The sequence below is a fragment of the Homo sapiens genome, chromosome 5 (genome assembly GCF_000001405.40).
Source record: "Homo sapiens chromosome 5, GRCh38.p14 Primary Assembly".
In the NCBI taxonomy this organism is placed as follows: domain Eukaryota; kingdom Metazoa; phylum Chordata; class Mammalia; order Primates; family Hominidae; genus Homo; species Homo sapiens.
Genome location: NC_000005.10, coordinates 132,428,794 through 132,450,362, shown reverse-complemented (window position 1 = coordinate 132,450,362; position 21,569 = coordinate 132,428,794). Strand labels below are relative to the sequence as shown.

The window sequence follows — 21,569 nt, the reverse complement described above, 5'->3', positions numbered from 1 at the left end:
GTGGCTCATGCCTGTAATCCCAGCACTTTGGGAGGCCGAGGTGGGCGGATCATGAGGTCAAGAGATTGAGACCATCCTGGCCAACATGGTGAAACCCCATCTCTATTACAAATACAAAAATTGGCTGGGCGTGGTGGCGTGTGCCTGTAGTCCCAGCTACTTGGGAGGCTGAGGCAGAAGAATCGCTTGAACCCGGGAGGCAGAGGTTGCACTGAGCCGAGATTGTGCCACTGCGCTTCAGTCTGGCGACAGAGCGAGACTCCATCTCAGAAAAAAAAAAAAGCACTAGACCCTCTGCAGCAGCCTGCTGTGCCTTCAGTGGGCCAGGCAGCACTTCTGGGCAAGTGAGGAAAGGGAGACCCGGAGGGAGGTAGGGAAGTGAGGGCAAGAGGGCCATGCTGTGGGCCCACAACCAACTGGCTTGGGGGAGGCTGCTACATTTTCCCAAGTGCAACACTGTCTTCCTGAGTCTAAAGACCTCACAGCCATCACTGACTATACTGAGCTGCCTCACTGTCCCCAGGACTCTCACTCTATCCAGGAAGTCAACGCAAAGTCTCTTGGGCCTTCCCTTTATCCAGCTGCCAACACTTAGCACCCTGGTCTTCCTTGGACAGTTTCCAAGGCTACGTTGGGCAGTCCCAAACAAGATGTGGTCTTATTGTTGTCTTACCTTGGTGTGTTTTCCTCCAATAGGCTACAAACTCTGGCACCTGCAAAAAACAAGGAAAGTAAATGATTGAAGCAGGGCACTGAAGGTGGGCCTTTGAACAACGCAAGCCTGGATGGAAGTTGAAAGATGAGAGCCCATCTGTGGTGAGTTCTTTGAAAGCTGCTGAGGTGTGAGTTGGTAGGATGCTGGCCCAGGGCAGACACGGGCACAAGCTTCCACCCAGCGGCATTCTCCACTCAGAGGGTTTCTTTCTCATTTGGCCTGTTAATGCTCCTATACTGGCAGAAACCTCAGTGCCCTTCCCACTTTGTCTCAAGGCCTTGTATAAAAAATAAGTTGTCCCTTCATTCATTTCCATGGATATATCCATTCATCAGCTATTTACTGAGCACCTACTATATGCCAGGCACTGTCCTAGGGCTCTGGGAATAGAGCATTGGACTAAAAAGGCTAACACCCTGCCCTCATGGAGCTTGAAGTCTACTGGGTAGGGGGGTGGGGCGGTGGTGGTAGTGAAGAGTCCAAAAACTAACAAGATACATAAATTAAAAATATAGGAATCAGAAGTGGTAAATCCTAGGGAGGAAAAAATAAGGCAGGAGAGAGAGGTAAGGAATATTGGGGCAGAAGGTGAGAAGGCGTGTAAAAATTCTAAAATGTGTGTCCAGAGAAGGCTAGACACCTGAGAAGGTAAATTATGAACAAAGTTACCTGAAAAAAGTGAGGACATGAGCCCTGAGAATTAACGGGGAAGAAGCTTCCCAGGTGGAGGGAATGGCAAGTGCAACAGCCTGGCAGTGAGGGCCTGTCTGACATGTTAACAGATAAGTGAGGAGGGTGGTGTAGCCAGAGTAGAGAGAATAAGGGAGAAGCAGGAGAGGGATCAGAGAGGTAGTGAGAGGCTCCACAGTGTTCACGGCATTCAAGGGAGGTCCTTGTGTGAACTTGGGCTCTGATTCTGAGACAGGAGCCACTAGAGGGTTTTTTACAGAGAAGTGACATGATGTAACTCACATTTTAACAGGATCACTCTGGATGCTGTGTTGAGAATAAACTGAGAGAAAGAGTAGAACCAGTTAGGAGGCTATGGCAGAAATCTTGGCAAGAGACAATGGTGGCTTGGACCAGAGCAGTAGCATGGAGGATTTGCTGATGGATTGGAAGTGAGAGATTAAAAAGAATGGGTTTAGAACCTGACTGGGGCAGGTTAAAAAGAAAGGAGCTGAAGCTGTGAACTAGGAGACAGAGTTGGCTGGGAGCAGCAGGAAGATTCCCAGTTTTGGCCTGAGCAACTGGGAGGATGGAATTGCCATTTTCTGAATGGAAGCGTACAGATGGAGCATGTTTTGTGGGGAGATAAGGAATACGGTTTTGGATGTAAGTGTGAGATGCCTTTTAAGCACTTAAGTGGAGAAGACTGTAGGCAGGTGGAACTGTGAATCTGGGGAGAGGTCCAGGCTGGAAATGAGTATTTGTGAGTTCTCAGCACATAGTTCTTTAAAGCTGTGACACAGGATGAGATCATCAAGAGGGTGGATGTCAATAGGGAAGCTGTCGGCCGGGTGCGGTGGCTCACGCCTGTAATCCCAGCACTTTGGGAGGCCAAGGCGGGTGGATCACCTGAGGTCAGGAGTTCGAGACCAGCCTGGCCAACCTGGTGAAACCCCGTCTCTACTAAAAATACAAAAATTAGCTGGGTGTGGTGGCAGGTGCCTGTAACCCCAGATACTCAGGAGGATGAAGCAGGAGAATCACTTGAACCCAGGAAGCAGAGGTTGCAGTGAGCGGAGATTGTGCCATTGTACTCCAGCCTGGGTGACAGAGCAAGACTCTGTCTCAAAAAAAAAAAAAAAAAAGAAAAGAAAAGAAAAGAAAAGAAAAAAAAAAAACCAGGGAAGCTGTGCAAGGGGCTGAGCCCCATTCAGTAGCTCAGCAAAAGAGACTGAAAAGGACTAGCAAGTACAGTAGGAGGGAAACCTGGAGAAAGACTTCTGAGGAGGATGGCATAGTCCACTGTGATAGATCAACTATTTAATAATATGAAGACAGAGATTTAGCATCTTGGAGTCACAGGTGATCCTGGTCAGGGATGATTCAGTGGAACAGTTGGAGTGAGAATCTGACTACAGCAGGTTCTAAAGAGAGGAGCTGAATTTGGGAGCTGAGGGGTGGAGTTGGCTGGTGACAGCAGGAGGGCTGGAAGCAGAGGGAGAGGGATCTAACCTACATTGGTTCCACCTTAAGAGAAAACACAAAGCTGGTACTTCCTCAACACCTGTACGTGGCCGCTGTTGTTACTAACACTGGGCCAGGTCCTCCAGCTTGCTGAGCACCACCCAGGTCTGGTCCTATAAGCTAGCTCTCCACCTGTTTCTAGATTCCTATGAAGTTATTTCCTTTTTCTCACTGCTGTGTGTAGCCTTAGGATAAATGCCCATAGCTTGGGGCTGCTGAGCAAGTCCTCAGTTGCTTGTTGACCAAGATCTGGCTTGGGTCCTTTCTCCTAATGGGAAGTCAGAGTGAGCAAGGGACTCTGCTCTTGGAGAGCTTGCCTTCTGTGCAGGAGATAAATAATCACCAAGGAAATGGATATGCAGGCAGGTAACTTCAGATGCAGATGGGTGCTATGAAGACAGTAAGCTGGGGTGAAACACACAGAGTAAGTGTGGGAGCGACCTCCTTTCGCCAGGCTGTGTGGTCAGGTGCCTCTCTGGGAGGTGACATTTAGGATGACACCTAGACAGCGATGCCCAGCTTATTCTCCTCAAGCTGGCCTCTCCTCTGCTGCTCCCAGCCTTCCCCGTGGCTTCTACAATATCTGCACTCTGGGAACAAGGCCAAGGCCTTGGGCCATCTAAGTGCAAAGCCAAAAGGAAACAATCCTCTTCTCTCGCCAATACACACCATGGGAACTTTTTCTCCATGATTACAAAATACATGCATTTTCACTGAAGGAAACTTGGAAATATTGAAAACAGGAGAAAACGTGTCATTCTACTACCCAGAAATAACTACAATTAACTTTGGATGCATCCTTCTAGACATTCTTCTATGCATATATATAGGTATTTTTTTTCTTATTTCCTTGGGTTAAAAATGAGATCATGTACATTGTGTTTTATGATCTGAATTTTGACTAAATCTGTTATAAAGCACTCTTCTCATGAAATTAATTTTCTTCTACATAATGAGTTTAAATGGCTGCATTAAAAGTATTTCATTATATGTAGATTTTTACCATATTTTATTTAATTCCTAAACATTGGCCATTTACATTGTTTCCTATGATTGTTACTACCAGCAAATGCTCTAATAAACAATCCTGTATATTTTTCCTTGGAGAAGGGGGTTTGCCAATCTCTTATTTCCTTGGGTTAAAACAAAATGTCACTGCCCAGTGGCAGTGCCATGGGTCTCATGGCAGCCTGAGGCTGAGGGCATGGGAGGGCAGGAATGAGCCCCAAGCCTAAGGAGCCACTCAGATGCCAGAGGCTGATTTAGTCCTATGACATGCCAGGTCTTGAGTTTTCCTCCCCTGAGGGCCTGATCAGTACGAAAACAATAGGCCTCTCCCATAAACCCAGAGAAATCCAAGGGGATTCCCCACCTCAGCAGGAAGAGGGTGTCACTCTCTGACCCCAGAATAGAGACCACCTCCATCCTCCCTTGAAATCCCCTGGGGAAGCTTCTCCTGCCCTCCGTCCCTGGGGAAAACATTGGCACGGTCAGGCCTTCAATCTCTCTTTGGGGAGGGGCTGCCAGGGAATGCTCAGGAAACAGAAGGTTCCATAGGAGTAGCAGGGCCTGTCCTATCCCTGACCCAGCCTTTTCCCTAAATCCTCAAATTCCCCACAGGGGCTGGCAGGGACAGTCTATGCTCCCCGTAAGAGGATGTCCTGAGGGCTAGTGAGTTCTAGGGTAAGGTGGGAGGCCACCAGATGAGGGTTTGAATCCAGGCTCTGACATTCCAGCCTCGTCTTGGGCAAGTGACTTCACCTGTGGAATGTGAGCTACGAGGAAGGAACTTAGATTTGCGCCCCTTAGCATTCAACAGGGGCTCTATAAATACCAGGCCAGGCCAATGCATGATCCTTTCTGAGCCTCAGCTGCTCATATGTGAAATGGATGACACCTATCTCACAGGTTTGTTGTAGGGACTAAATACAACTTAATACAGTTAACACTCTACTGTTTGAGAAACATTAGAGTCCAAAGCCCTGGAGGGCTACTTCCACCACGCCCCATGCTTTGTAGTCTCCTCTTTTTGGCAGAACTAGTTTACCTCCACACTGCTACTACCACACCCTAGACATACCTCTGGTGTAGTATGCAGCACATTGTGTGTGTACTTGTCCAACTCCTCCATGAAGCTTCAGGGCAGTTAAAGACAAGAATTTTGCCTCTCTATCGTCTGTGCCTCTGAATGACACTATGAAGTAAGCAAGGGCATTATTTCCATTCTACAAATGAGAAAACTGAGGCTTAGAAAGATTAGATGCCTTGCCCAAGTCACACAGTGGAGAGTAGGAGAGCAAGACCTAAACCTGGTTCTCATTTCTGGGCCTGTGTTCTGTAAACCAAAAAGAAAATTCCAAGGTACTCCCCAGCTGTCTGAATAGACCCCTCCTCTCGGCCAAGGGCATTCCAAAGTTAACCTGAAAAACTAGTTTAGGCCATGATGGGAAGGGGGAGCCAGACATGCCTCGTTATACCCTCTTCCCTTTTGGAATTACTGACTCTTTAAGACTGATAAGAGATATTTACAGTCCATTCTCTCTGAAGCCTGCTACCTGGAGGCCTCATCTGCATAATAAAACCTTGGTCCCCATAGCCCCTTATCGTAACCCAGACATTCCTTTCTGTTGCTTTCTATTGATAATAACTCTTTCAACCAATTGTCAATCAGAAAAATTTTTGAATCCATCTATGACTTGAAACCACCCCCACTCCCCAACCTAGTTGTCCTGCCTTTTTGGACAGAACCAATGTACATCTTATATGCATTGATTGATGGCTATGTCTCCCTAAAATGTATAAAACCAAATTGTGGCCTGACCACTTTGGGTACATGTTCTCAGGATCTCCTGAGGGCTGTCTCACAGGCCATTGGTTACTTATATTTGGCTCAGAATAGATGTCTTCAAATATTTTACAGTTTGACCGACAACTCTATTCTAGATGATTCTCTTGCAAAAGGGAGTTGGAGGTGAGAAGGAAGTGAGCCAATTCTCATGTCCCTGAGAAAAAGGCAGGCAGAGCTTCGAGAGGAAGGAGGTGCTTGGGGAGGCAGCAGGACACTGCACTTGCCTCAGCCCCATCCTGACTCCCCGTGGATCATCGTGCATGCAGCAGCTGTGACCCCCAGAGGCCTCTAGTTCAGCATAAGCTGAGGCAAAGGGGGCCCCCAGGTTCCCTCTACTGGTGTGAAGCCCAGCCGGCAAGGGGACTGGGGATCGGCGGCCCAGAGTTGATTGTTGTGGCCCCAGCAGCAGGATGATGGCTGTAGAGCACCTGCTCAGGAGTTAGCCTATCTCCAGCTATGGGGCGGGAAGGCTCCCTACCAGACCACACACATCTTGATGTACTCACCCTGTGAGCCCAGGACCCCTGTGATACCTGCTGAGGTGAAGGCTGAATGAGTGAGAGCTCCCAGCCTCCAGCATCAGGGCATTAGGGAGAAGAAGCAGCTAGACTCAAGCCAGGGATGCAGAGGGAGGGAACAGGCATCAGGTAGTAGGTGTTTTAATGTCACCTACCTCTTATTATGTTGTATGTTTCTGGAGGATGGGTCCATGGCTGATCCATCCTTGTGTCTCTACTACAACCAGCAGATTACTTTACAGAGAGTTGATACTCAGTAAGTACAGCTTATTGAAGGTGTAACCAAAAGCCAGTAGGCAGGATGACAGATGGCATCCGCCTTGCATGTCTGGGTCATCAGGGAAAGGGCCAATGTCCAGTGTGTCCTGACCAGGATGGTTCTGACAAGGACATCCATAGCATCCACAGAGGGTGCTCCCTCCCCAGGCAACAAACTCTCCCTCCCTCCTTTCTTTCTTCCTTCCCTTTTTTTTGAGATGGAGTCTCACTTATTGCCCAGGCTGGAGTGCAGTGGCACAATCTCGGCTCATTGCAACCTTCGCCTCCTGGGTTCAATTGATTCTCTGGCCTCAGCCTCCCGAGTAACTGGGATTACAGGCATGTACCACCATACCTGGCTAATTTTTGTATTTTTAGTAGAGATAGGCTTTTGCCACGTTGGCCAGGCTGGTCTCAAACTCGTGACCTCAGTTGATCTGCCTGCCTGGGCCTCCCAAAGTGCTGGGATTACAGGCATGAGCCACCGCTCCCAGCACACTCTCCCTTTCTTAGCCAAAGAGACACCACTTGGAGGAAACTACCTGGATCTAGGTGCTTCCCTAGTGACAAAAATGGACTGGGGATGTGGTATAAATCCTTGCCCCTGGGAATCTGGAAGGGACCTATGATATGAGAAAAAACAAACAAACAAACAAACAGACCAATTATCTCTTTATTGAGACCAAAACTGCTGCTTTTGCCTGAATGGTCAGATTGACTGATTCCTCTTCCACTTGCCATCCCCACTGCATGCATGGCTACAAATAATCCTGATGTTGCACATTTAAAATAGTGCCTTGCTTCAATTGCTTCAGTCTATCAGTGTAAACTGTGTCTCCCCTGGCAGGTATGCTGTGGGGGACAGTGCAGGGCTTGTCTCTGTAGGACCAAACTCAGTATGAACTTATCACCTGCCTGTGTGTACAGCTTTAAGCTTCAGGTAGAGGGTGTTATAAACCCTGGAGTAGGACTTCCCTAGAGAACAGGTCATTACACTATGTCCATCTATTGAGGCCCTAAATTAAGTCTACAGAATTAGGCCTAAACTCCGCAGACAGTAGCCAAAGGTCTCAGGCTCTGGCCCACTCCACCTGTCCATCCACACCTCCCTCTCATCTTGCCCTTCACTCACTTAACACAGTGCCCAAAGGGAGATGCAGTTGCCTGGACAGGCTGGCTTTGGCTTAAGCTAGGGGTTCTTAAAGAATAGTCCCCAGACCAGCAGCATCAGCATCACCTGGGACTTGTTAGACCTCCTGAATTGGAACCTGTGGGATGAGACTCAGCAAACTGTTTTAATGAGTCTTCTAGGTGATTTTGGTTGCACTAAAGTTTGAGAACCACTGGGTGAGCCATTCCCTGAGCCCAGGTTGCCTTTCTCAGCCATTTTCTGCCTATTATAATCTCAACCACCTTTCAAAGTTCAGCTCAATACCATCTCTTTTGGGAAGCCCCCGTAGTCCCCCAAGTACTTGTGAAGGCCTCTTCCTTGAACCGACAGCTTCTTTGTCACCCCATCCCCCATTCTAGTGAAAGACCTTCATTTCTGCTTCTCTTTGCAGCATGTATTTTCTGCTTTGTTTTATAGTAAACTTTGAGCAGTTGTTAACTGCCTTCCCACACTGATTCCCCTCTAACACACAAATGTTACTCTGTAAAGGCCATGTCTTACTTCACTCATTCTTTTTTATTTTTTATTTTTGAAACAAGGTCTGGCTCTGTTGTCCAGGCTGGAGTGCAGTGGCATGATGTTGGCTCACTGCAACCTCTGACTCCTGGGCTCATGTCATCCTCCCACCTCAGCCTCCCAAGTAGCTGGGATTACAGGCCTGTGCTACTGCGCCCGGCTAATTTTTGTATTTTTAGTAGAGACAGGGTTTCCCCATGTTGGCCAGGCTGGTCTCGGTCTAGACTCAAGTGATCCGCCCACCTTAACCTCCCAAAGTACTGGGATTACAGGAGTGAGCCACTGCGCCTGGTGCAATTTGCTCATTCTTTGAATAAATGTCCACTGAGGATCTGCTCTACATGGCGGGGGCTGTGCTAGGCACTGGGGTTCAGACAAAGGTGCACCCTTATACTTATCATCCAGGAGCCAGTGGGGTGAATGGCAAGGTGGCTGGCAATTGCAATACTTTGAGTAGCACTGAGACAGAATGCTTCCAACCACAGGGGGCCCCTCATGCCCCTCCCTGTTGGGACCCACCCAAAAAGTAACCTCTGTTCTAACTTCCATCACCAGAGATTAATTTTATCTGTTTTTGCCTTTTGTTTGAGACAGGGTCTTGCTCTGTCGTCCAGGATGGAGTGCAGTGGTGCGATCATAGCCCAGTGCAGCCTCAAACGCCTAGACTCAAGCAATCCTCCCACCTCAGCCTCTTGTGTAGCTAGGACTACAGGCATGTGCCACCATGCCCAGCTATTTTTTTTTTTTTAAAGAGACAGAGTCTTGCTATGTTGCCCAGGCTGGTCTCAAACTCCTGGTCTCAAGCATTCCTCCTGTCTTGACCTCCCAGAGTGCTGGGATTACAGGTATAAGCCACCGCACCCGGCCAATTTTATTTGTTTTTAAACTTCATATAAATAGAATCATACAATGTACCTTTCGGGTGTCTGGCTTCTTCCCACTACACATTATCTGTGCGATCCATGTATGCTGTTATGTATAGACACAGTTTGTTCTTTTTTAAGATTGCTGTGTTGTATCCCATTGTGTAGATATGACACAATTTAACCATTCTACTGTTGATGGCCATTTGTGTTGTTTCTAGTTTGGGGCTCTTATGGAGAAAGATACTATTAGACATAAGACAAAAACATTTTGGTTTATGTCCGCTGGTGGACATTCTGGACATTCGCACTCATTCCTCTTGAGTATGTACCTAGAGGTGGAACTGATGGTTTATGGAATGGGTATAGTCTTAGCTTTAGTAGATACTATCAAATAGTTTTCCAAAGTGATTGTACCAATGTACACTCCTACCAGCATATAAAAGTGTTTGCCAACATTTGGTATTATCAGTCTTCAATTTTAGTCCTTCCTGTGGGTATAGAGTTGTATCTTTTACGTTTTAATTTGCTTATTGGCTATTTATATATCCACTTTTAAGATGTTCCTGTTTAAGACTTTTGCCTATTTGCTTTTTTCTTATTTACTTACAGGAATTCTTTGGACCTTCTGGATATAAGCCCCAGTCGTCTGTCGGATATGTTACAGAGAATATCCTCTCCTCTTCCAGTCTCTGGCTCGCCTTTCCACTAGGTTTTTTGTTTTTTTTTTTCTGAGACAGAGTCTCGCTCTCTCACCCAGGCTGGAGTGCATGGCATGATCTCGGCTCACTACAACCTCCACCTCCCGAGTTCAAGTGATTCTCCTGCCTCAGCGTCCCGGGTAGCTGAGACTACAGGTGCCCACCACCATGCCCGGCTAATCTTTGTATTTTCAGTAGAGACGGGATTTCACCATATTGGCCAGGCTGGTCTCGAACTCCTGACTTGTGATCCGCCCATCTCAGCCTCCCAAAGTGCCGGGATTACAGGTGTGAGCCACCGCACCCAGACGCCTTTCCACTCTTTAATGGTATTTTTGATGAACAAAAGTTCATAAATGTTCAATTTACCCATCTTTTCATCTATGGCTAGTGTATCCTGCTTAAGTAATCTTAGTTCCAAGAAGTCCAGTTAACAGAAATAACAAAAATTACTAATATTAAAAAAGACAAAGAAGTGAAGGAAAAAATTGGATGGTGGGTGTGGGAGAAGGACTGCATCAGATCGTGAGAGTGTGCTCACTTGACTGTGCTGTGCAAAGCCCGGGCCTTGTCCTGTGTTGTGGTATGGATGGGAGCTGAACCCCCAGGCAGTGCAACAAACATGCCCTCTGTTTGGTTCAGATGCTGCACCAGGTGGTGGAAAGGGCTCTGTGGGCTGTAGGGGGACCCTGGCTCAATGGCTTAAGAGAAAGATCACTCCTTTTCATGTGTGTTAAGCTGGGTCTGACCCCCAAACCCTGGAGACTCCCTTTAGTCCAGGCCCTGCGCCTCTGTGCCAGAGCCTGCAAAGACAGCAGTGCTGACACTTGTCCAGCTGGCTCACAAAGGGGAAATTCTCCCCTCCTTGAGTCACCACATAGACAGGAGGAGCTTCAAATAACAAGCGCTCGACTCCAAACGATCCCTATGCTCATTTCACGATGCTGCATCACTTTCAAAATCCCCTGTGATGCTTGTGTATGAAGTCTAGATCCAGAAACTTTCCCCATGTTTTCCCCAGTTTGAGTAGAACAATACCCTGGGAGTCACAAGCTACATCATACAATTGACTTCCCTAAAAAAAAAAAAAAAAAAGAGATCTTGGACTCAAGGTTATGAGTTTGCAGTGTCCTTTGCAGGGTCTTTTAAATCCCCTAGTGGCATATGAAACTCTGGATGTTTGTGAATTTTCCTGGGGAAAGGGTCTATGTGTGCCATCAGATTCCGGAAGGGGTGTATGACCTCAAAAAAAGGTAAGACTCACTGGACCGAGTCCCCTTTAAGGATAGTTTGCAGTCCTCTTCTGCTGGGAGGTGATGGTAGTAGGCTTGCCAAGAGGACCTCAACCTACCAGATGGATGCGATCTGCCATCCACCTCCCCAGCATAAAGCCAGTTCATAAAGCCAGCTCCAGCATCTCTGGGGCAGTTTTCTTCCCATCCAGGGTCAAGCTCTTGGCGGCTTAGAGATGCAGTGTGCCAGTCCCAACACCATGGCTGTGTGTCACTGCAGATGAAGGCATACTTTTTTTCTAGGACGTGCAGTGACCCCACTTGGCAGCAGACACTCATTTCTGATATTTTTGTATGCCAAGTCTTGGGTAAAACAACTAAGTGATCTCTTAAGGACCCAGGTTCCTTTTTTGTCCCTGTTCCTTGCCCCTCACCACCACTTTTTCCATGTGCCACCCTCTCATAAGAACTCAGAAGCCCAGGGTGGAGTCAAAGGGGTCTTTTAAATCCCCTAGTGGCATATGAAATTCTGGATGTTTGTGAATTTTCCTGGGGAAAGGGTCTATGTGTGCCATTAGATTCTGGAAGGGGTGTGTGACCTCAAAAAAAGGTTAAGACCCACTGGACCGAGTCCTCTTTAAATGGAAGTGCATGGATCAGTTTGATAAAATTAATTTATAGTAATGAGCTATGTATCTTTAGCTAACTGCACTTCTAAAAAGACATCTGGGAAGGGAGAACGCTTAACTAAAATTATTATTATAATTATTATTTTTTGAGATGGAGTATTGCTCTTGTCGCCCCCAGGCTGGAGTGCAATGGCACGATCTCAGCTCACTGCAACCTCTGCCTCCCAGGTTCATGCAATTCTTGTGCCTCAGCCTCCTGAGTAGCTGGAATTAGAGGTGCCCACCACCATGCCCAGCTAATTTTTGTATTTTTAGTGGAGACAGGGTTTCACCATGTTGCCCAGGCTGGTCTTTAACTCCTGACCTCAAGTAATCTGCCCACCTCAGCCTCCCAAAGTGTTGGGATTATAGGCATGAGCCACTGCACCTGACCTAAAATTATATTTCTAATGACAAAACTGAGGTACAGCTCATAACTAAATAGGGGAGAATGACATTAAAGCCACTCCCATCACTAAAAAAGACCAATTTTTCTGGTCTAGATGGCTTTTTAGAGGCTCCTGGAGCAGGAACAAGGGGTTAGTGACTACGATGTGTCAAAAGAGACATAGGCATTTCTCAGATAAACCTCAGCTCTTCCGGCTTGAGAGAAGGAAACATTCCCAACATGACTTAGGGGCCCAAGGACCCTGTTTCCACCTCATATCAGATTGTCAAATGGGAAGGGTGTGCCTAGAGCACACACTCCCTCCTGAAAGGGCTGAGTCCCCAGAAGACCTATGTCTGCTCCATCCTGGGTCCCTGCTCTCTCCTGGAGACAAGATACAGCTGCCTGTATGAGTAGCAGTCTGGGGCCTCCTCCTCCCTCCCTCTGCCCCACCCCACTCCTCCCTGCCCGCCCCCATACACACTGGGTTCTTCCTCCCCTGCTCTCTCTCAAGAAGCCAGGCCCCTGCCCCCACTCACAGTCAGAAGGAAGTGATTCTGCAAGGCCTCCCAGGGACTCCCAGGACTGGCTCAAGGCATCAGACTGTTAAATAAGTGGGATTTTTTCAGTGTTTGTAGAAACTGTTGTTTAAAAAGATGTAACCATCCAAACTGTTTATGTAACCCTTGGGAAGTCTCAACAGATATGGTTCCCTATTTATAACTGTGGCCAGGACTTTAAAAATACAAGTGGAGGGGGACTGTCAAAATCAGAGAGGTTGTCACGTTACAGTTGTATGCTTGCATAACTGAATTCAGTATTTTGCTCTAATTTGAGAAGTTTCTTTTTATTCACTTTTCTCCTTTTCTGGTTTTCTCTTCCTTTGTTGTCCACTGCTGTGCACCATACACTCCTGACATTTTCTGAGAACATCAGAACTATTTCTCTGAAGTGGAGGTTCAAAATAGGGGTTTTTAGAATGACCAAATAATAATGAACACTAAAATTCATTTCAAAGCCTAGGACTAGTCTATTCATACTGATATTCCTAGTCTACAAGGGTAAACATAGCTGTCTTCTCGCCGCCAGCCCCTACACCTGCAGGGGCCTGCTCTGTCTCTGGGTTGTCCGCTCTGGAGGTAGGTGTCAGACCACCTGGTCTCACTTTCCTAGGTCCAATCTCTGGATCTATGGCAACAGAATCCACAGGTCCCTATTCCCATACAGGGGGAATGCAAAGTTGCTGGGGGACAATCACAGTGCAAAGCTGAGATCTGGGCTTCTTTCTAGAGCCATTCTGAGGTCTTCATCACTCACACTAACAATCCAACTAAAACCTGGCTCTTGTAGGAACACATCCTCTTCTTTATTAGGGAGGCTGTTCTCTGAGTTAACATAGTAGCAGTTTCGTTCACAGATCTTTCTGGCAAAAAAGAATCCGACGAGAGCTATGCCTCCACCAAAGGCACAGTTTGATAACACTTTGGGGAAGGATGGTTCATAGCTCCTGAAGAAGAAAGAGTCTGTGATAAGAACCTCTGGCCCACAGGCTTCTTCACACTACACAACTTCCAAAATCCCTAACCACTGCTAATAGCTAGGAGGAGGATAGTGACTGTTCCCAACACAAAGAGATGACAAACATTTGAGATGGTGGATATGCTAATTACCCTGATGTGATCACTATACATAATATGTATTGAAACATCATTATGTACCTTGTAAATATGTATAATCATTATAACACACAATATGAGGTCCCAGACAATGATAATACATAATAATTATACGTTTATGGGATACATAGTGATGTTTCAATATGTATAAATTGAAGTGGTGTGAATTATGTATAAATTTTAACTACATTAAAAATTACAGAAAAATAAATTTTAAAAAACAAAACAAAAAAAATTCTTAACTGCTGTCAAGCTAGCACTGACAACCGAAGCCTCAGCCCAGTACCTCCCTGCTTCCACCTGTGCTGACCACCCTAAGAGAGAAGGCAGAGGCACACAGCCCTTACATCTTGGTGGGGAAACCCTAGGGTTTCCTCTGAGGGCCTGACAGTTTGAAGGGATTGAAAATGAGTGGAGGGTGTGGCCACCTCAGCTCTAGCCTCCTTCTGCTGAGGGACAGTGGCCAAGGAACATCCTCATAGATCCAAAGGAAGGTGGAGAGTCCCTCTTTGTCCTCTCCACCCACCTCATCCCCACCACGCCCTGATGTCACTCCCTGCTGTACCCACCCCGGAAACCCTTAGCCACTTCCCACAGGTCCACTCCCAGGGAAGTTCTTTAATTGGTGGATGTGGGAAAGAGGAAGAGGAAAAATATCATTTCTACCTTCCCAATTCCCTGTATCCCATGAGCCTCCAGTCTGAAAATGATTACCCATCTGACCTGGAGCTCTCATCCTAGGTATCATAATGGCTCTTCTTTTACCCATAAGGAGAATGGGTAATGAAGAAATGCAAAATCCCAACTCATGAAAATGTGGTTGAAAAAGGGAAGACCCATAAAAGTTCTCATTTGTTGACCAGAGACAATAAAGTGATTACTTAAAAAAAAAAAAACCCACCTCTGGGGTCTTTCCAAATCATGGAGAAAAATAAAAACAGGGGAAGACATGCTCTAGTCTTAAAACTCCAATGTGGCCCCAGACTGGTGAGCCCCAACAACAGTAAATACCCACCCTCAGCAGCCTTCTGCCCACCTCACCCCACCAATACTAGGTCCCAGACAAGTCAACAAACACTTATTGACCATGTACTGTGTGCTTCCAACCATTCCGGGAGTTGGAATTCTGCAACCTCAAGGTGCTTTGCGAGGAGCAGGGAAACAGCTCAGTCAACATTTACTGTGTGCTGACGTTTTGCTAGGTTTAGAGGAGGCAAAAATCTGAGAAAAAAACAGCTAAGAATACTCCAATCTGGGAAGTACTAATATACACATAGCACCATAGGAGCAAGGAACAATTAATTCTACATGGTGAGGTCAACCAGAGAAGATGATTTTTAAGTTGGGCCTTGAAAGCACATTAGGATTTTGCTGGGTATAACTGGGAAGGAGTGGCATTCCAGGCAGAAAGAACTGAGTGAGCAAAGGTCAGGGTTGGGGTTGGTATGGGCAGTTGGTTGTATGTGATACGGCGTGTAGTCAGGCCAGTGTTGCCAGAACACGGGGTCAGAGAGCAAGAGCAAAGGAGGTAAGGCTAAAAGGCAGGCTGCAGTTTATGGCAGCCACGAACACATGCCATTCAAAGGACCTGTTGCATGGAGTGCAGACAGCTGACAGGCTGCAGCCTCGGATCCACACCATTCAAGTCAGACCATGTTGCCTCCTGGGTGGCCCCCAGCCAATGACAGAACATGGCAGGGTTGCTCGGGCCTGTCCATTTCTGCCCAAAGTGCGACTCTTCTCCTGGGCAATCTTTGGCTGGAACTCCCCACTGGGCTCGTTGAGACACTCTTACAGCCGCATCACAGTCTGATGCTCTTTCAACAGAATTATCCTTCCCTCTCTTGCGTCCCAGAGTTAGATCTGGACTGCAGTCTGAAAGCTGTCTTTTCTCTCCGTACTTCTGCTCCTTTCTCCTTTATCTTTCATAGGCATTAGCTCTTCTTACCCCCAATAAATCTTCTGCACTTTTCATTCTGTTTTGGTGTCTGCTTCCCAGAGGACTCCAACTGAGAAGGAGCTTAGATGAATGTTTGGGTTTTGCTGACAGTGAGGAGCCACTGAGGTATTTTAAACAGGGCAAGCCATGGTCAGATCTGAGTTTCATAAAAGCAATTCTAGCACTAGGGTGAAGAGCCGGGGGGTGGGGAGACAGGGAAGCAACAGGCAATGAAAAGACCATTTAAAAGGACACTGCACTGATTGGTACAAGGTTTCAACAAGGGGCAACTGGAAGTATATACAACTTACTATGTATATACCCTTTAACTCAACAGTCTCAATTGTAGAAATCTATTTTATAGAAACACTAGCACAAATGCATAAAAGTATAAAAATGAGGATGTAGTGGCCTATAAATATTATCAGGACATTGAAAAACTTTGTGGTCATCTGTAGGGGAGGAGATGAACTAGCAGTACATCTACGTGGTGGAATACATACCAAGCAGCCTTTAAAAAGAAGACAGCAGGTCTCTATGTACTGTCATAGAGAAATATACACAATAGACTGCTATTTGTAAAAAGCCGGTTGCTAGCCGGGAGTGGTGGCTCACGCCTGTAATCCCAGCACTTTGGGAGACTGAGGCGGGTGGATCACCTGAGGTCAGGAGTTTGAGACCAGCCTGGCCAACATGGTGCAACCTTGTCTCTACTAAAAATACAAAAATTAGTTGGGCGTAGTGGCGGGTGCCTGTAATCCCAGCTACTTGGGAGGCTGAGGCTGGAGAATCGCTTGAACCTGGGAGGTGGAGGTTGCAGTGAGCCAAGATTGTGTCACTGCACTCCAGCCTGGGCAACAGAGTGAGACTCTGTCTCAAAAAAAAAAAAAAAAAAAAAGCCAGTTGCTGTACAAAGTATATAGCATGCTCCCATTTTCATGAACAAAGCTGTGCATACGTATATTTATAAAGATCCACATTTGTTTGTATAAATAAGTCTGGAAAGAGATATATCAACTGTTGACAGAGGTCACCTCTTGAAGGTGGTAGGGCTTTCACTTTTTACTTTCTATGTTGTTTTTATTTTCTTTGGTGCTTTTCTATAATATATTTTCTACTTCTTAAAATGATGAAGATGGTTCATTTCTCTTATCAGAACACAAAATTTTAATTTAAAAAGCTTCATATCTACTTGGAAAACCATATAAAAATTCTTTATATTGTATTTCCAGAGAAGAAATAACAAAAATCTCCTAGAATCGTTGAGAGGGCTGTCAGCGGCCTGGTCTCGGTAAAGAGAAATTAGAGATGAGTTGGAATAGAGCCGAACACAGGGTGGTGAAGACAGAAGTTCCAGAAGAAGCCAAGAGTGCTATCTTGAGTAGTGGGCAGGTGACCCACAGAAGGGCGGTGGGTGGGAAGTAGGAGTGAGAGGGGTCTGTGCTGAATGTGCCAGCCTTCAGGAGGCTCAGGCCAGGACAGGGTGTATAAACAAGAGGTGACGCTGGCTCCTGCTTTAGAACTCAGGAGAGTATTTAGGCCTAAACACTTATGACCTACAAAAGATTAAAAACTTACCAACAGTACTCACCAATGGACTAAAACGCTAATTGTAAACAGTGAAGTCATTGAAAAACCAGAAAAATATTGGTGAATACTTATCTAAGGGGGGAAGAATTTTGGATAAAAGAGCAAACAGCATTTTAAAGAAATTTTAGCCATATTAAAAACAAACACCAAGACTTTAAAAACAGAACTCATAAACAAAATCAAAAGACAAGCAAAAACAAGGAATTATATTTACAGCAACACTGACAGAAAGGACATGTCCTTCATATATAAAAAACATATGGTTGGGTGTGGCTCATGCCTGTAATCCCAGCACTTTGAGAGGCCAGCATGGGTGGATCACTTGAGGTCAGGAGTTTGAGACCAGCTTGGGCAACATGGTGAAACCGTGTCTCTACTAAAATACAAAAATTTAGCTGGGCATGGAGGCTTGCGCCTGTAATGCCAGCTACTCAGGAGGTTAAGGAAGGAGAATCGCTGGAATTGAGGAGGCAGAGTTTGCAATGAGCTGAGATTGCACCACTGCACTCCAGCCAAGGAGACAGAGTGAGACTTCATATAAAAAAAAAAAGCAAAAAACAAAACAACAACAACAACAAAACCCAAAAAACACAGATGAGTTTGTAATCAGTAATAAAAATACACTCTCCAAAGAAAAACAGCACTGGAGCTGGGCATGGTGGTATGTGCCTGTAATCCCATCTACTCAGGGGGCCAAGGTGGGAGGATTGCTTGAGCCCAGGAGTTCAAGGCCAGCTTGGGTAACACAGCAAGATCCCATCTCTATAAAAAATAAGTTAGCCAGGTATGGTGGTGCACACTTGTAGTTCTAGCTACTCTGGAGGCTGAGGTAAAAGGATTGCTTGAGCCCAGGAGTTCGAGGCTGCAGTGAGCTATGATTGTGCCACTGCGCTCCAGTCTGGTTGACAAAGCAAGGCCCTGTCTCTTAAAAAAAGAAAGAAAAAGAAAAACAGCATTGATTATGGTATTGTGTATTATAAACATTATTTTGTATTGGTTAGAATTTTGTTCAGTTACATAAAACAGAAAACAATAGTGGCTTAAGCAAGATGGGATTTTCTTTCTTTCTCTCACTGAAAAAAAAGGTCTAGAAATGATCAGTTCAGGGCTGGTTTGGTGACTTCAGGTGTCACCAGGGACCTACGCTTCTTCTGGCTCATCCTGCCCCTATTCCTAAAGTGCAGCTCTCATTCTCATGTCTTGTGGTAGTTGCTAGAGTGATAGTCACCACATCCTCATTTAAGAAAGTAGGATGGAGAAAGGAGGGTGAATAAAGGGCACACCCCCTCCTGTTAAGGAGCTGGCTTCGAAGTCCCATATGACACCCACTTGCATCCATTGTCCGGAACCCAGCCACATGATCACACTTTGCTGCAAAATTGCCAGGGGAACGTAGTTTTCAGCTGGGTGGAAAAGGGATCAGCAAAAAATTGGTTTTGTTACTAAGAAAGAGGGAATGGATACTGTAGAGCAATGAGCAGTTTCTAACATACATGTGAACAAAATTATCAAAAGAAATACAAATGTAAAAGATTTCAGGGTCAACCTTACCAACAGTCAAATATAAGTAAAGCAGGTGGCCTTTTATGGTCTTGTCTGGCTAAGGTATTGAAGAGCTGGCCAGACAAGTCATGAAGACAGTCAAGAACTGACTGTCTTCATAAGGACCGACTGTCTTCATAAGAACCTTGGGACAATGCACATGAACAGAACAGAGTTTCAGGGTAAAAATGGCCCTTTCTCCCCAACTAGATGGCTCAAGGACCCAAGGGCCACTTCCTGGCTGTTCCCCCAAAGTCTCCCTCCAACTCCCAAGTGACATCAGATTCTGTAAATGCTGGGAAGTAGAGAAAAATTCTGTACCCAGGGATTCTCTAACTAAACTATGGCTAAAATTAAATTTTAGGTGTTTTTGAAAGTTCCTTTAAAAAAGTAATATCCTCATGCAAACTGAATCAGCAGTTTCAGAACTTAAAAAAAAAAAAAGAACCTCTGTCGTATTCTTGGGGTATCACAAATTAAACATGAAAACCAGCCACTAAAATAAGGACCAGTGTTTGGATACTACATGGGGGTGATGTTAGGCAACCTCAAGTTATGTCTTTTGGCAGATTCAGGACTTTATGTGAGCTCCCACAGATGGTGATGTCAATGCCACCACCCTTCAGAAGGCACAGAGAAGGAAAGTGCAGAGGACACGGCAAGTGTGGATTCCACAGGCTTCTGAAGTTCATAGGCCTATTTTGAATAGTTATTGTGCCTTTCTCAATCCAGACCAGCATCAGTTACCTCTCACGATTTATTTGAAAGCATTTACTTCTAGTGTTTGCTCTTTTTAAATGGTTGCTGATTGGGAAAAATACCAGAGTAAACTGATGTTTCATGAAGTCTGGGGGAGACGATCTTTAGGGCATGGGAAGCAATATGATATAATGACGAAACGTGCCCATGCTTTGGAATCAGAAACACCTGGATTTGAGACCTAGCTCTGTGGTTTACCAGCTGTGTGTTCTGGGACAAGTTATTAAACTTCTCTGGGGCTCAGGTTACTTGTCTTAAGATGGGCTAATACAGTGCTTACCTCGTTGTATCATCAAGTTGGGTAGGAAACAGATGGTGAACTTGGACTGGGACTGTTTACAAAGGTGTGGGGAGGGCTCAGGGAAATCAAGATGAGACAGTGAAGCATATGGGGGCTAGCAACAATGGGGAGCTGTTACCACTTGTAACCTGAAGGTATGAAGGAAGGGAATAAATGGGTAAGGGGACCCAAAGGAGGCAGCTATTGGAAGGGTGTCTGGCAGGAGCTGTGGGCTCCAGTGGAGGATGCAGTTGGCCTAAAGCGACCTGATAGGGACCCGGGGGAATAACTTAACCACTTGCCCTCCTCGGGGAACTCCTGACCTCATCTTCCTGAGTCCTTCCATCTCTTGCTAATGCTCCCCATGGACCAAATCTAACTAGAATCCAGAGGCAAGATAGATGAGTGATGTGGCCCATTCAGGTCAGCCTCCCAACCCAGAGCAGGTAGAGAGGACGGAGAGTGGATCTGCAGGGGCAAACAGAAGATTAATCAAAATAGAGACTGTGATGAGGTTAGCATAATGCCTGGAACATAGTAAGTCCACAAGTCCTCAACAAATGTTAATTTATTTTGGACTTTGGACTCTCTGTCTGCCTGTTTTGCTTATTGCTTACTTCCTGGTTTTCATCAGCTCATGTATAGTTGAGATAACTTCCAAATAATCAAGTATTGTTATCTATATTGGAGTGTTTTGAAGGAGTAATGAGTGTATAAAAAAGATAACCAGATACTCTGGGGATTAGAGATGACAGAGGGAAACAGAGGAAGGGGAGTAAGTAAGAGAAAAGGATGGAGAAAACTGTATGTTCCCTATGAGGCTGGAATGAACGCAAGATTATCTTACTTTAAAATCAAATCATGCACTTATTGGGATGTGATAACAGTGCGTTTGCAATTTTACAGCCCAGTGAGACTTGCCAGAAAGGGATTTTGCAAGGAAGGTCTTCCTGCCCTAAAGGAAAACCTAGTGCTTACTTCCAGATTAATAAGTCTTAACCCATCATGCCTGCTCCCCCAAAACCAAGTAGTCAAATGTGTTAACCTGGATGTTTAAATACCTGCATGTTCCTGCCTGGGTGCCTGGGTCAGGTGAATGTTCTATTCTGATTTGGGAAATGGCTAGAGTGTGTTGGTCGTCGCCTGGGATAGCTCCCAGGTAGGAAGGGAGCCCCAGAGAGTGGTCTGAACAGTGACTCATAAACTCAGTGTCCTTTCCTCCAGCCTTTACCAGCTGCTGACTTGGCCCCTTAGGAATCTGTCTTCATTCCGCAAGCTATTCTCCAGTGTCTGGTTCAGGCTCTAGAGCAGAGCATTCCAGGCTTTCTGTGATTCCTGGCCACCTGTTCCATCTCCAAGACCCTCCAGCATCCTTCTCTCATTTGCTTACCCTACCCTCCAGGCCTTTGCACAGGCCACTCTCTGTGCCTGGGACATACATTCTCCTTCTGGCTAACCTTCCGCAGCCTCCAGGACCTCTCAGGTGTCCTCTCCTCTGGGAGCCCTGCTGGACTGCCCACGGGGAGTTGGGAAGCCCTTCTGTATGCTCCTGTTAGCCCTCTTTGATTCTCTCACTCACAGCACTTCCACACTGTCTTGGTTTCCTGGCTCATCTCTCCCAACACACTGGACACCCCTTGAGAAGAGACTTGACATATTCATCTTGATTTTAATGCCATCCGGCAAAATTCCTGGCACTCAGAGGGCATGCA

At 46.0% G+C, this 21,569-nt stretch overlaps 1 long non-coding RNA gene across 1 annotated transcript in view, besides 1 other annotated feature; it reads right to left on the bottom strand.

Annotated features, from left to right (window-relative positions):
• CARINH (colitis associated IRF1 antisense regulator of intestinal homeostasis) overlaps positions 1 to 21,569 on the bottom strand; it is a 65,116-nt gene that overhangs the window by 25,682 nt on the left and 17,865 nt on the right. Inside the window, exon 3 of the long non-coding RNA NR_161242.1 lies at positions 674 to 713. This is a non-coding gene — a long non-coding RNA (colitis associated IRF1 antisense regulator of intestinal homeostasis). The remainder of the gene's footprint in view (positions 1 to 673; positions 714 to 21,569) is intronic.
• Positions 4,570 to 5,249: an enhancer, noted in NCBI's record as "H3K27ac hESC enhancer chr5:131780806-131781485 (GRCh37/hg19 assembly coordinates)". NCBI's record gives its function as "activates a minimal SCP1, AML or CMV promoter by ChIP-STARR-seq in naive H9 embryonic stem cells {active_cell/tissue: H9 hESC(naive)}" and the evidence as "EXISTENCE:reporter gene assay evidence [ECO:0000049][PMID:30033119]".